The following is a 16295-nucleotide window of genomic DNA, read 5'->3' on the forward strand; positions in this document are numbered from 1 at the left end:
TCTCATCAGGGGTGTCCTGTATGGTTGTTCAGGTTGTGCACTGCATGAGGAAACGCCACCTAAGAAGGTGACATTTACATTGTAGAAAAATACTAATTTGTATTACAGCACACAGTGAGCACAGAGCTTCTAGGCCTCTGAGGCATGTCCTAGAGCAACTGGTCCTTTATAAACCCACCCCGACACCATGATAAGGCTTCCACTCAGGAGTGCAGGAGTCACACACTCATTGATGCACACGGGCATGTAGTTGTACCAGGTTCTTATTGTGCCCCAGTCATCTTCTGAGGTTGCTTCTCTCATTGCTGTAGCTCTTGGTGGCCCCATTCACATCCTATACCAGACTTGGAGTTGGCTACGATTGCCTTTTGGGGAAGGATAGGGCAGGTGCACGTTGGTGTCAGTGGGGGCCTGAGAGAACCGGGCTATCTGTATACACAAAGCTGGGGCCTGATTCCTAATCAGATGCTATCTTACCCTGAGTTCCCCAAACAGCAGAGCCAAAGGAGAAGCTTATGTGTGAGCATCTCACAAACAGTGTGAGCCTAGGGAGCAGAAGTGAGGGACGGGGAGCCGGATGAGCTTCCTGTGGCTGCTGTAACAAATTACTAGAAACTTGGTGGCTTAGAGAAACACACACTTGTTCTTTTACAGTTTACTGGTGGTCACACATGCCAAATGAGTTGCAGTGGGTTGAAATCAAGGTGTCAGCAGGGTCTTGCTCTCTCTGGAGACTATGGGGGAGAATCCACTTCCTTGCCATTTCCAGCTTCTGGAGCTGCATTCCTATAATTGCATTTCTTGGTATGTGGCCCCTTTCTGCATCTTCAAAGTCAATGGCACTGGATCTTACTCCATCCTCACATTGCCTTCTTCTGTAATTGCATTTTCCCTGCCTTCCTCTTATGACACCTGTGATTATACTTAGAGCCTACCAGCTAAGCTGGGATGATCTCTCCATCAAGATTCTTAATACAATTGCATCTGCAAAATGTGACTGAAACCCCCCTTGCCAGTAGGTAACAATCACAGTATCAGGAGTTAGGACCTGGATCTGTTTGGGGGCCATTATTCAGCCTACCATGGAGTGAAGAGGGGAGGGAGAGGAGAGCCAAGATAAGGATGCATTTTCTGCTTGGCCGCTCTTATGGGAGACTGGTTGCTTGATTCTCTGGGGCCACCAAGAAGCTGTATGAAATGTTTCCATCTCAGAACTGCCTCTGGGGAAGAGTGGGCAGTGGGGAAGGAGGAAGTATCTTTCCACGGCTCCTATCCCCTGTTGGTCAAAGGTTCACCCCCTGGGGCATCCATACTCCCACAGCTGTGGATTGTGCCCAAGTGGATGCTGGGGGTCTCCCACCTGGAGGAGGAGATGAGACCAGTGGGTGCCACTAGGCTGCACCGCCGGCCAGGGCCCCCAAGGAGCTGCCCATCAGAGCAGAGGCTGGAATAAGGACAGACAGGTAAGGCCCAGAGGGCCTGAAAGGGGTGCAAAAGAGGCGTCCAACACAGGTGCCTGTGCTCTGTCTACAGGTACAAAAATAAGTCTGAATTAAGGGAACATGGTTCATGTGAATTTAAGTGGGATGCTTCTAATGAAACCCCAGGTCCCAGGGCCCTTGCTCCTGTCCCCCTGCCCCCCGCTTCCTCTTGCCTCCTTGTCCTTTACACAGGTGGGGGCATCTTGTGGGGCCATCTGTGGTCAGTTATCTGACACAACCAGAGAGGCCGCCTCCCTCTTCCCCCTTCCCTGCCACATAATGCGCTTCTGGGTATGCTTTAAATTGTTTTATCCCGGCTGGGCGTGGTGGCTCACGCCTGTACTCCCAGCACTTTGGGAGGCCAAGGATGGTGGATCGCCTGAAGTCAGGAGTTTGAGACCAGCGTGGCCAACATGGCGAAACCTCGTCTCTCCTAAAAAATACAAAAGTAGCCGGGTATGGTGGCACACGCCTGTAATCCCAGCTATTCGGAAGGCTGAGACAGGAGAATCACTTGAACCCGGGAGACAGAGGTTGCAGTAAGCCGAGATCACACCATTGCCTTCCAACCTGGGGGAAAAGAGCAAAACCTCCGTCTCTAAATAAATAAATAAATAAATAAATTGTTTTACCCCATCCCCACTTTCTTTTACCTTGAAGAAAAGGTGTTGATGTCCTGTTTTGTTTTTTGTTTTTAATTTGCATCAATGTCCCCCAAGGCAACAGCCCTGCAGCATTTGGGAGGCAGAACCAAACCCTAAATCCAGATCTGGTCATTGCAAAACTCAAAGGAAACTACAAACTCCACCGCTACCTTGCAGTTCATAAGGAGCCAAGGCGAACAGGGGAAGGTTTGCCTCATTCTCTGATCAGGGTCCCACACACCCACGCTTCAACAGGTCTAGCAAAGAGGAGAGAAGCCCCAGGAATAAAATGAAGACTTTTGGAGAGGAGTGGGTGCTTCATTGAGAAGAGCAGAACTAGTAGAACGGGCATCGTGGGCAGCATCGGGGATCTAGGTGGTGCTGGGGTGTGGGGTTGAGTGAGTGGGGAAGGTTTGGGGAACCCCAAAAGGAATTGAGCTCAGTGAGTGCAAGTGCGGGAGAGGTAAGTGCTCCTAGCCTCAGAGATGGGAAGCTCAGGGCAATGGCTTCTGAAGTTCTTTCCCTCTGACCCTGTGGGACCAGAGTAAAGCTCAGGTCTAAAGAGGTCTCCAGACCAGGTCTTTCTGACTGTCTCTCACCTGCCCTTGCACCGCTGTCTCTTGAAGCCCTTTGGATACATTCATATGAACTTCTGTCCTCATTCCCATGCGGCTCCTGCCGCCCTTATTCCTGACTCCATCTTAGCTTATGACCACCTCCGCCTTGCAGTTCCGGGTATGGAGTGTATTTCTGCTCTCCCCCGACTCTCAGAAGCCCCCTCCAGGACTCCAGCATGTCCTTGTTCTATCCCTCGCACCTGGTAGCACGTCTCCCTGGCGAGCCCTTCAGGCCTTCATCCTGTCTCACTCCACAGCGAAGTGATTCAGGCACTTCCAGCAGGTTCTACATAGAGAAGATTCTGATGCCCTAGACAGGCTGAGCCTGACCCTACCAGTCCCAGGCCCAACCCGACCCTGGCCTTGACCTTGACCTTTGAGTCTCAGTCCCGTCCCAGGCTTAGCCCAATGCTCCTGTCAGCCTCATCCCTCAACTCTGCCCCCAAAGGTGCATTTACTGCAGACAGTTCCAACCCCTGTCCCAGGCTGAGCCCCAGATAATCCCAGATTTTCCCTCAACCTAATCCAGCCCAGAAACGGACCTTTATTTAAAATGAATGGTATAGCTCAGCCCTCCCACTTCGGCAGCTCAGCTCTCATATCATGTGCCTCAGTGGGCCGATTTATTGAGACCGTCAGGGCCACGCAGTAAAAAGACCACCTCGCTTGGGCCTGAGTCCAAGTTTTTTCACTTACCAGCGACATCACTTTAGGCTAAGTTCCAACGGGCACTTTCTGGGCCCCAGTGTCCTTTACTTACCACAAATAGCTATGACAAGAGTTCTGCAACCTGGCGCCTGGGAGTCCTTTGTACACTGTGGGATACTGCAGGGTTTCACATTCAGGGATACTCGGGGACTGAGCTTTCTGTCTCTCCCCTGCCGCAAAGGGCAGTTCTTTTCCCAACACTGCAGGTGTGCTAGGCCTTCCACAAATCCCCGACCTGCCGACAGGATGTTTGAACAAGGCTCCTGCAACAGCCTTGGCCCTGGTGCCATCACCCGACCTAGTTTTATTTCCGTTTCCTTGAGAGAAAATGTTATCCCAGTCCGCTCTCTGTAGTCTGACAAATGTGTTCCTTTATGAGGGTGAACCCAGCCCTGGGAGGCAGCAGAGCAGGTCACGTGCTGGCAGGGTTGCCATGGAAAGTATTCACTTTTATTGAATTATTCATTTGCGGCGTCCACCTAGAATGTCCCCTCAGGCTCACAGCTGTGACAGACAGACACTTGGACAAAGAGACGTGTGGCCAAGGGCCCCTCCACACGTCAGCTTCCCTCCCAAGAGCTGTCTCCCGACAGGGACAGAGCAGAGAACTTTGAGTCCGAGACCCCGGATCCCCTACCCATCTTTGTTCAGGAGACAGTGGCTCTACAGAGATTTAGTGTGCACACTCTGGCTCCAGACCACCAGAGTTCAAGTCTCCTCTCTTCCTCTTCTATTTCCTCTACTGAAAAGTGGGAATAGGAAGATACCCACCTCTCCAGGTTGCTATTACATTTTAGACTCAAAAATATCTAAAATACAAATAGTAATGTTGGCTTTTATTTATTTATTTATTTTTACCAAGTAAGTGATTATGGGCCTCAGTTTTCCCCATCTGTACAATGAAGACAACTGACCAGATAATCCCTAAGGAAGCCTCCAGCTCTGATACTGCCTGCCATTGACAATGAAGCCAAATGGCATCGTCCTGCCTGAATTCTTAAGTTTCTCAGGGACACAAAATCCATTTTCTCCAGTAGACGTTGTCTTCTTCCCAGTAGCGGGGGTCACAGGTCATGGTCGTAAAGTGAGTGTGTGTTAAAGACTCAAACAGGCGGCCGGGTGCGGTGGCTCACGCCTGTAAACCTAACACTTTGGGAGGCCTAGAAGGGCAGATTGCCTGAGCTCAGGAGTTCGAGACCAGCCTGGGCAACACAGTGAAACCCCATCTCTACTAAAATACAAAAAATTAGCTGGGTGTGGTGGCATGTGCCTGTAGTTCCAGCTATGTCGGAGCCTGAGGCAGGAGAATCGCTTGAACCCGGGAGGCGGAGGTTGCAGTGAACTGAGATCACACCACTGCACTCCAGCCTGAGCAACAGAGCGAGACTCCGTTTTCAAGGAAAAAAAAAAAAGACTCAAACAGGCCCGGTTCCAATTTCAAGGTCAGGGGAAGGATGAGTTCTGCCTTCCTTTAACTCTCCCAGGCTAGGAGTGGGGTGTGATGTGGCGTCATCAATAGCCTGGTGTATCAGGCAATTTTTACTGAAATCACCGCCACCATCTGCAACTTGAAGGGCTTGTTGGGGCACGCTGGCATTGCTTTCAAACAACTGATTCTCGGTAGAATGAAGAAAGATCAGCAATGTAATGTTTGCATGGTTATTTTTTTGTATTCTAAACTGAAACCCGTTTTTAAAGTGACCACCTCAACATATGTGTCAAGATATAAATAGAGGGAGGATGTTATCACAGAAGCTTTGGAAATCACCTAAATGCCCATTAGGAGAGGAGTGGCTGTATACACTGCTAATTCCTTTCCAATAATTTACCATGTAGACATGAAGAGTGAGCGAGACGTATACTTACGGACAAGCCTAGATCATAAGACCCAGGACTGAGTAAAAAGAGATTTAAAAAGCAAGTGCTATAAAATGTCGTTTAAATCAAACCTATAAACATAAATATATAGCCCAGCTGTCTAGGGCCAGCCTGTAGTTTTAGATCTAGAAAAAGTTGGCTTGTACCTCCCATCCACAAACTGGGGAGCCCCCTGACCCCCATATGTTTGGGAATTCCTGAAGGAATTTTCTAGGCAGGGTCACATCTGGATTCTCTAGCACCTGGCTACCCTCCCCGCCCCCCGCCCCTCCCCGATTCTGCTGAATTAGCTCAAGGTCAGGATTGTGTGACTGTCTCGTGTTCCAATTTTCCTTCCACACCACAACTGTCCACATATAGATTCAGCCCTTTCCTTAATGTCTCCCCCCAGAACACTCATACTGGGTCTGTGTGTGTTGGAAGCATTCTCGAAGGCTTGGGGAAGGCCATTGAAGGCTTTTCATAGCAACAAAGCAAGCAACTTGAAATTCAATCAGGTGCCCCTGCTTTTCAAATGTCCCCTGACCACTCCCATACCCAGGGCCCCAGCCTCCTGCTGGGATGCGCTTTGCTCCTTTATTTTTCTTTCTATTTTCAGCTCTATTGCTCTCCCTCTAGCGCTTGATTGGCCCTGGGAGCACCAAGCTCCTCTCACTTTATGAAGCAGAGCAATTCAGTTCTTTTTCTGCCTCACCCCCACATTTGGATATAGGCCACTCTTGCAGGTATCCAAACCCGTGGAGGGGCTCAGGGTCAGCTTCCAACCGGCTCTGCACCAAACAGAACTTGCCCTCGTTAGAGAGCTGTTGGGGTTGTAAATAGCAGCATACCACACCCACCCACCCCCACACACACACACAGAAAATCAGTCTGGAATTGTGTTCACCAAAACGTTAACAGCGGTCATTTCTGAGTAATTATATTTTAGGTAATTTTTTGCCTAAAATATAATTTAAGGCAAAAATTTTTTCTTTATATATTTTTGTATTATTTGAATTTTCTAAAATGAGCATATATTAGCTTCCCAGTCTGAACAGGGAGCAGAGGAAGCAATTTTGGGGGAAGACAATACCCTCTGTGATGCAGAGGCCCGCTCAAGTTCCCCCTCTTCCCCCACGTAGTCCGCGAGCACATCCCTTTAATGCCCACGCCTCAGTCAGTCACTGCCCAGGCCCTGCTGCGACTCTCTCAGCACCCTCCCACCTGTCACTTCCGACCCCTGCTCCAACTCTCTCAGCACCCTCCCACCTGTCCCAGCTGTGTTGCCGCAGAGGCTGGCAGGCAGCCCACCCAGACCTCCCAGGAGTCCAGCAGAAACTGACTTCCCACACACTCTGCTCACAGCCATTAGGAGGGCAACCGTGGCAAGGGTGCAGAGAGCCAGTGGGGCCTGGGCCATTTTGAGAGCACCCCTCCTCTGCCCATTTTTGCAGAAGTGATTGAACGATGTGAGCCACACATAGGATTGACTGGAATTACTAGGAGCAGGGCTCAACATCCTACATCACCTTGCTAACAGAGCCTTGGCCTCTGGAGAAGAGGTGCGGAGCTGGAGGGAGGAGGAGCATCCGGGAGGCCTGGGGAGCACTTCCAACACCACCCCCTTCAACAGATGCATCTTGTATTGCTACTGGTACAGTGTGTTTTGATTGATATGTCACCACGCTCTCTTGGTGAAGGGACAGGAGATGGGTAAAGTTGCTTTTGTTGCCAAGAAACATGAAAGTCAACTCATGCTCAGGAAGAGAACATGCAGGTTCATTTACGAGTAGTGAGGCTCAAGATTTAGGAGAAGAGGTTTCAGACTCTCCTGCTGCCCCACCCCCAATCTGGCCTGGATTTCTGCCCAAAGACCTGTCTGAGGCCAATATGAATCATGTAACAGGAACTGGATTTTAAATCCATTCCGCATGGTGTCTGGCACCGAGCCAGCCGCTGTGGGCACTCAACACCCTTTTGTCAAATCAAGCTCTTATGGAATCACTCTTCCCTCTTTTTAAAACCACCATTCATCGAGAGCCTTCTGTGGAGCAGGCACCAGGCCATGTGCTTTACTTATGTCATAGCCCATTAAACCATCACACTAGGGCTTCAAGGTAAAGGGTTATTGCTCATTTTTTTATAGATGAGGAAACTGCATCTCACAGAGATGAACATAAGTAACTAGCCAAGGGTCCCACAGTCCATTAGTCAGCTATTGTGGCAATAATGCTATGCAACACACACTGTCTGCAGACTGAGGAGATGGCAACAAGCACTTACTTCCCACTGACAGCCGTGGCTCTCATGGGCTGGGCTCCAGGCTGTGGGTTGGGCTGTTTCAAGGATCTCATTCTCCTGGGACCAGTGGTTACCCACTCCATTCCTCTCATGGCAGATGGCAGAAGAGCCAGATTCCAAGCCAAGACATGCAAATATGGAACAGTTTCTTGGCCAAGACCCACATCTATGGGAGAGGGAAAGATATTTCACCTCTTCTATTGAGAGATCTTGTAAGGTCGCATTGCAAAGGGTATGAATGCATCATTCTGACACCAGGAGTCAAGAAATGGGAGTAAGGGTACCATTTGTAGACATAGCTAGTGGAGAGCTGAAGCCAGGTTCATACTAAGATCCTTGCAATGCTAAAACCCGCTGTCAGTCACACCACAGCTCTTCCTCTGTCCCCTCTGTGAGTGACACACTGAGCTCAAGTCTCAAGATGTAGGTAGCATGGATAAAGAAGCCTGGAAGACTTAGCAGACCTCAGGAGAAAATCGGGCCTAGGATGCTTGCTCGGTGCACTTGCTGCAGCGGTAGTTACTCTGGAAGACGACAGCTGTGGACCTTTGAAGACTGGGTGGGGAGCCAAGGAGAGAAACTACTCCTCTCCATCGGAACCAGATTCAGCAGCAATGCTTGCTCTCTGTCCACCCGGGGCCAATGAAACTGTTCACTCATCTCCAGCTTCTGGCATGACTGTGCCCCAACGTCCAAGACAGGATGGATTCCACGTTTTGGGACAGCATTCCCCACCATATTTCATGCAGTGCACCCCCAAGATCTTATCAGTGAACTTCAACTCTTGGAACATTAGTGGGGAATAGCACTATTAATATCTGGGGGCAGTTTACTTCCAACGTCTGGAGCTCAAGATACCCTAAACTGGACTTGGCAGTCACAGGGAATAGCCAGTGTCCTGGGTGTAGGATCTGAGGCCCTGACTTCCAGTCTCAGCTCTGAGGCTCATCTCTAGGCCTCGACTTCCCTACTGCTAAAATGGGGCTGGGCTATAGCCCGTGTCCAAAGCCTTTCCCAGCCCAGCAGCTTCTGGTCCCAGGAGGCCAGCTTACTGTCGGGGCATTCTAAACTCAGTGTTCAGCTGTGTGGTGCCTTTTGTCTCCCCAGTTTCACCTATGCTTGTCACATAGAGTCCAGAGCCCTTAGACTTCTGGAAGAAAACAGAGTAATTAGGGGGTTGGCTGACTACGGGCAGGGGTCTTGTTACTCAGTCTCCTCAGGCTGCAAGCAGGGCTGAACCTGGATTGCTCAGTCTGCGTGGGGCTCAGAGCTGGGGCGGGGTCTGGGGCTTCCCCACAAAGCCCACATCAGGCTTGGACTGGAGAGCCATTGAGGGAAACCAGTGGATGTGTGGGCCCAGGAGGCAGAACAAGGGATATAGCTCTGGCTAATTCAAGTGGGAGCCACAGACTAGTGACAGGAGCATCACCTGGCAACATATTAAGAATGCAGACTCTTGGCTGGGAGCAGTGGCTCATGCCTGTAATCCCAGCACTTTGGGAAGCCAAGGTGGGTGGATCATTTGAGGTCAGGAGTTCGAGACCAGCCTGGCCAACATGGTGAAACCCTTCCTCTACTAAAAATACACAAAAAAATTAGCCAGGCTTGGTGGCGGGTGCCTGTAGTCCTAGCTACTCAGGAGGCTGAGGCAGAATTGCTTGAACATGGGAGGTGGAGGTTGCAGTGAGCCAAGGCCACACCACTGAACTCCAGTCTGGCAACAGAAGGAGACTCTGTCTCAAAAAAAAAAAAAAAAAAAAAGCAGACTCTCAGGCCCCTCCTAAATCAGCATTGAACAAGGTCCCCAGGTGATTTGTGTGCATGTTGCAGTTTCAGAAGCGCTAGCGTAGCAGATGCCGATATCCACCCTCGCCTTTGCCATTTCCCCTGCACACTGGCTCCTGGGGCACCTTCACTCCCAGCAGCCCACGCCTGCGATTTTCTGCCAGAGGGCTGTCCTCAGGCTGCTGGAGGCCCCTTTGCTTGTAGCACCAAGAGCCAGAGGGCTTGGAAATTTACATCCACCCAGGGGCAGCCCTTAACCCAGAGGTTCCAGAACTTCCACAGTTCATGAAGCCCTTGGAGACTCAGTAATTTTTCACAGCACTCATTCCTAGGCTAAAAAACAAACAAACAAACAAAACAAACCTAACAGTTCCATTTATTATGTAGTAAGGTGCAAACAGCTTAACTAGTATTTATAGCCTAACAACTTAGCAGCTGTTGACAAATATGATACCCAAAAATTAAAACAGAAAGGAATGTGTTGATTTCACTCATAAATAAACACAATTACTTATTCATGGGATGTGTGTGCCTGTTGGGCACTGCACAACTTTTCAGTTCTCAGAATCACATTGGATGCCACCACCCTCATTGCCTGCTCTACTCTGATTTCCATTCAGTACTTCCTTTTTGTCACAGCTTCTGCTTAACACTCAGCTTCACAAAGATGTGACATCAGCCAAGGAAATGCAGGGCAGTCTGATGTTGAAACTGTGAACTGTCTCAGGAGTGGTGTCTGGCAGCTGTTGCGGTGTTTCCCTTAAAGACTTAAAATATGCCACGGCATCTGCCTTGGCACACAGTTTGAGAACTATGGCCTAACCCATACTTGAGGTCATCAGGTATAAATACTCCAGCTTCCTCACCCTGGTGGGGCCAGCTCTGAGGCATGATGGACCCTGTCTACTGTTAGACTAAACTGAGTTCCCCTATGTGGGCTGTGTGCTCCTATTCCTGGGCCCCTTCCCTTCCCAATCTCACTTCTCCACTCACCTCCTGGTTTATCCTGGGAACGTTTCCTAATGCATGTCTTTCACAGGAATCTTCATATCAGAACCTGCTTCCGGAGAACACAGCCTAAGGAAAAGGCGAACAGGAAGATATGGGCTTGGGAGGCAGTTAGGAGGCAATGCTGTCATCCAGGGAGATGCAGATTCGCCTGGGATGGTGGCAGTGGATGGGCACAGCAGACCAAGTTGGGAAATACTAAGGATGTGGAATTAGCAGCCTTGGTCACCAGCCAGGTATGGATGGCAAGAGAATCTCAGAAACTCTGGGTTTCACCCTAGTATGGGGATGCCACTATCAGCCATCTGGAGACTAAGAGTCAGGGCAAGTTTGGGGGGAAGGTAGGAAGTACATTTTCCAACATGTTAAGTTCAAACCCTGAAATCCCAGTTCTAAAAAAAGGAGAAAGCCGAGCAGGCAAACTTTTCCACCCACTTTTTTTTAAAGGTTCTGTTTAAGTGTATGCTCAATGTGCCGTTCCCAGCCTCGTTAACCTCCCTAATAATTATACTAATGACTGCAGTCTCCGCGTAAGGATGTGTTCAGAAGCCCCAGCTCATGCTTGGCTTCACATGGCAGACTATGCGTTCCTGCGTCGTGGTGTGTTGCTGCTGCACCCTGAAATGTTTAAGGCAAACAGAGGCAGCACCTGTGAAATATCATGGCTGGCAGCGCGTGGCTCGAGCTGCCTGCAGGCACTCACAGTGGCAGAGCCACACTCCCCAGAGCCAGACACCAAAGCCTTGGTTCTCTGAAGGGGCCAGTGAGGGGGGTGGGATCTGCCCTCTTAGTCTTCCGAGGACCCGTGGGGACAGCCTTCCCACTTTGTGCCTCATTTATTCTCCCAACAGTCTTGAGATGTGAGTGTTGCTATGTCCATTTTGCAGGCAAGAAACCTGAAGCTGAGCTGCCGTTTTATAATTCATCCAACACACATATTCTGAGCACCTACTATATGCCAGTTACTTTCAAAGGGTCTGGGATTCAACCCAGCCCTGTCCCACCCTACTTCTAGTAGACATAAACAATGAATAAATCAAACCGGCCGGGCACAGTGGCTCATGCCCGTAATCCCAACACTTCGGAGGCTGAGGCGGGTGCGTCACGAGGTCAGGAGATCAAGACCATCCTGGCTAACATGGTGAAACCCCGTCTCTACTAAAAATACAAAAAATTAGCTGGGCATGGTGGCACACACCTGTGTCCCAGCTACTCAGGAGAGGAGGTTACAGTGAGCTGAGATCACGCCACCGCACTCCAGCCTGGGTGAGAGAGTGAGAGTCTATCTCAGAAAAAAAAAAAAAATCAAGCCAAGTGGTAAAGAGATGGAGGACAACTGAGGCAAGGGGAGGAGGAGTGAGCTTAATGAAAGGCCAAGAATTTTTAACAAATTCTTGGTTCTACAGACTTAACAGGAGAGGGGAGGCCTAGATTTTAATAGTAATTTATCTCAATGTAGGCTTTTAAACCTCAATTTATCATTGTCGCTGACAACACTTGGATTAATCTGTTGCTCAGTGTCTTTCTCACTGCTGCGAATCCCAGAAGGATAAAAGGGAATTGATATACATAAAGAACTAAATTTCAATTAATGCAAGCCTGTGCTAATTTTCCAACACATAACCCAGAAACATTCTCATTCATTACAATTTTATCGTGGCAGATCCTCGAGGGGAAACACACCCACAGATTTATTTATTTTTTCCGGTGTCGAATTTATCATCCAAGGCATTTTGGGGGAGGGGGGATGGGGGGCAGCTAACTGGACTCTGCGTATCCCCAGCAGTCCACTTTTTGCTGACGGATGGGGAGCATTTCCCAGAATCTGCCTGAAGTTTCTCAAGTGGCATTCACCAATTCTTCAACAGCTGGAAGTGTGGGTCTTGTGTGGTTAACCCATGGAAAGGGAGCAAGGGGCTCTGGAGACGGAGGCAGATTCTGTTATTCTGAAACGGACTCAGTGTCTGCCTGTCCCTTAGGCTGGGGCAATTTCCTGCTCTTAGGAGTGGGAAACCTCCCTGGGGGTAGGGGTCTGAGGTCAGCTGTCCTTCTCTGCCCATTCTGCTCAACAAGCTGGGCTGCAAGTTGGTTGGAGGAGGGGATGCAGTTGTTTCTGCCCTAAAGCACCTTGGCAAACATTGCCCCTGAGAGGCTGTGTCTGCAGCTTTTTCTAATCTGTCCCCCAAGTGAGGGTCCTCATTCTAGATGACACAGAGGCACACTGTGTCCACCTGCCCTAAACTGTCCCAGCTGAGAACATTCCTCACCTTGACCCCAGAAGTGTTTCTGGGTGCAGGTGGCACTCTCTGGGAGCAGGGCCTCTCTGCCAAGCCCAGACTCAGCATTCTCCCAGACAAACTCATTAGAATTCCCTGTTCTACCCGGGCTTCCCCCAGTCTATGTGACTGGCAGGAGCAGAGCCCTGTTGGAGTTGCCTTGGCCCAAACACAGGGAAGAATCAGAAACGTAAGTCCCATGGCCCTCAACTTGGCCCCCCTTGTGCATACAGAAGCCCCCTTCTTACCTGGGTCATGGCCTTGGATCCAGCCCCGGGATGCCAGCCCAGACACCGGAATGCCTGTGCCAGGAATCGTGGATGCCTGTGTCTGTTCTGCTCTTCCTCTGAGTTCCTCTGTCCCCACCTGTGCCCCACTCCAGCCAGGAGGCCACTATTCACCCCCTTTTCCTCTTGGGGCTATTTGTCCCTTTGCAGAAGAGCAATCGCCGATGCTTTCCTTCCAAATAATTAAAAGGGCCCGGTGACCGAGGGATGACATGGAGAGTTCGACTCCACTGGGAGAAAGGTTTAATGTTCCTCCCAATTCCCAAGGCACAGCGTGCCACACAGGGCTACAGGGGCAAGAACCAGCGCTGGTCAGGAGGCAAAAGCAGGAGCAAGGGAAGGCATGGGTCACAGCCGTGACTAGGGTTTCCCTGGGAAAAACAAGGCAGGGCCAGGTAAGTCGCTTCAAGCTGGCTAGTTTGAATAATTCTCTCAGGCTCTGGGCTCAAGGGAGTTCCCGAGTTGCCCAGGACCTGGCCTTTGGATGATTTAGGACAAGGGAAGTCTGACCCTGTGTGTGCGGGTAGGTAAGGTGATGGCTGGGGGCTCAGACTCTGGATTCGTTGGTTTGTAGATGAAAGACATGCTCCCAGCTGTGTCCTTTGCTTTCTCTAAGAGTTGGATAGCCCTTAGAAGGGAAATATCTTCTTGGGCCTGTAAGATCCCCAAATGCCAGAGCATCGATACAGAAAATAGGAAAATGTAGTTAAATCAGCCCTGTGATGAATGGATGCTGTATTAGTCTGTTCTCATGCTGCTAATATAGACATACCCAAGACTGGGTAATTTGTGAAGGAAAGAGGTTTAACGGACTCACAGTTCCACCTGGCTGGGGAGGCCTCACAATCATGGTGGAAGGCAAGGAGGAGCAAGTCACCTCTTACATGGATGGCAGCAGGTGAAGTGAGAGCTTGTGCAGGGGAATTCTTCTTTGTAAGACCATCAGATCTCATGAGAGTTATTCACCAACACGAGAACAGCACAGGAAAGACCCGCCCCCATGATTCAGTTACCTCCCACTGGGTCCCTCCCATGACACGTGGGAGTTGTGGGAGCTACAATTCAAGGTGAGATTTGGGTTGGGACACAGCCAAACCATACCAGATGCCAAATAGACAAATACAGAACCTCCCCCTCCACTTCACTGCACTGGGCTTCTCACTGTTCATCAACTCAACAAGCAGGCACCTGCCAGGTCCTTTGTACTCAGTGCCACTTCTTTTTGGCATCTGCTTTCTCCAAACAGCCCCGTGGCTAACTTGTTCCATTCTTTTGGGTCTCAGCTCAAACTTCCTTGCTCAGACAGGCCTTCCCCAGCCGGCTGCCCCATGTGATGCTGCCCCCTATGCTCTCCTCCTCCCCTTGCCTCAGTTGTCCTCCATTGTATGGACAGGTTACCTGATGTGTACTGGTGATCAGTGAATGCTGGCTACTATTAGTGAGTTGCCTTTCATTAAGCTCACTCCTTGGGATATGGCCTAGATAGTGGATGGTGGCTCCTCAGTCCCTGGGTGCTTTTTATTTGCCTTAAGGGGTGCTGTTTTTTCGGGGTTGGGCTTCCCACTCTCACACTCCCCTGGCTCATCATATAGCTTCCTCTCACTTGGCCTCAATTGCTAAATCTGTCTCTATGACCCCCATACCTGTGTCTGTCCCCTAAATACCAGGCCTGTAGATCCAGCTGCCCTGGGCACCTCTTAAGTTCTAGGACTTGGCACAGCCAAGACTTCATGTTCCATTTTCTCCCCAAATATGCATCTGATCCTGTGTTCCCATCTCACCAGTGCCATCATCCACTCACTTATTAAGTCACTGATGTCATCCTGGGCTTCTCTCATCCTCGTATCCTCCCACCCAATCAAAGCCACTCCTTCTTCCAACAACAGCCCTCCTCTCCCCACCCCAAGTCACTTCTCTGGTTCGGATCTTCGTCAGCTTGCCCCTGGATATTGTAATTACCTCCTCAGTGGTCTCCTAGCTTGAGTCTCCTTCCAACTCCTTCCTCAACCTCCAAATCCATGGTCTTCCTATAACCTTGCCCCATCACTCCCCTGCAGCAAAACCTCCAGTGATTCCTCATGGCGCTCAGGGCAAAGTCTAAACGTTGAGGCTCTTTGCGGTCCAGGCCCCAGCCCCACGCTGAGCCACACCCACCTTCACTCCATCAAGATCCTTGATGTCTTTGGAACACAGCACATTGTTTCTTGTGCCTTTGACTGTGCACCTTTTCCTTGGAATATCTTCACCCGTCTCCACCAGTTGATGTTGACTTCATGCCCAGCTTTGGAGCCCACTCTCAAATGGGATGGAGTTTGCAGTCCTCACCACGGGGCAATTGGAACAGTTTTTCTGCAGCCTGAGTCACCCTGGTTTGTGTGTTCGCCATCACTTTCCTCACTCTCTGACCGTCAGCCAGGACGTAAGATGTGTGTGCACCAAAGTCTGGGTGTGTGCACCCATCTGTGTCTGTGCTAGAGGTAGGAAGGCGGGCAGGCCATTGGCTTGCAGTCAGAAGTCAGCAGAAGGGGAACACCACCCTTCTAGACACTTCAGGGTCCAGTTTCGGCCACCTTGAGACAGCTCAGGACTCTAGAGCCCTGAGACCCCCCGCGGAGACCCATTTCCTCCTGTTTCAGCTCCTGCAGACATTTCCAGGATCCTACCCTTTCTCAGAAGCTGCAGGAGTCCAAAAACACCGTTACAAGCATGTTATCATAGTTCCTCACACTACCATGTGGCGGGAGACGGCTCAGAGAGTAATGAATTCATATTCGTGTATTCCCACGATTAACATACTGAAAGCTTCCTTCATTAAAATTACAGTACTGCAAACACTTCCTGGTTAACTTGGACAACAAGGAAGCTCCTCTCCAAGGGATAAGAAGTTGTTTCAAGATGAAGATGTTATCCGGCTTGTCATATCTGATTTCTCAGGCCAAAAAAGAAAATAATAATTCCCTATCTCATTCTCATTCTTTTTCTCCCCTGCTACCTCTCTCTCTCTCTCTCTCCTCTCCCTCCCTCTTCGGCTTCTTCTCCTCTTTCACTGTGTGCCAACCTCTCTGCAATTTCCCAAGTAAAAATAAAAGAGATGACCTTCTACATAATCAGCCATTGCAATTTGGAGGTGAATATTCAATTAGTTCCAGGCCAGGGATTCCTGATCAATATTGCCTTCTCACGGCAAAACAGTGTAACAAACTCTCGTATTAAGCAATTCTAAGTCCCGGTGCTGATACCCATGACCGACAGTTAATCTGCACTTTAATTAATACCTGCCCCTCAGTCAGCTAAAGCTGTGGATTACCCACAAAGGTTTTCAGTCCCCCCT

The 16295-nt window shown here is 49.9% G+C and overlaps 1 long non-coding RNA gene across 1 annotated transcript in view; it reads right to left on the reverse strand.

The window, feature by feature from the left end:
- Nucleotides 1-16295, reverse strand: part of LOC105371508 (uncharacterized) — a 40615-nt gene that overhangs the window by 6596 nt on the left and 17724 nt on the right. The window contains exon 3 of the long non-coding RNA XR_934185.3: nucleotides 10387-10470. This is a non-coding gene — a long non-coding RNA (uncharacterized LOC105371508). The remainder of the gene's footprint in view (nucleotides 1-10386; nucleotides 10471-16295) is intronic.

Source organism: Homo sapiens, chromosome 17 (assembly GCF_000001405.40).
Source record: "Homo sapiens chromosome 17, GRCh38.p14 Primary Assembly".
Classification (NCBI taxonomy): Eukaryota; Metazoa; Chordata; class Mammalia; order Primates; family Hominidae; genus Homo; species Homo sapiens.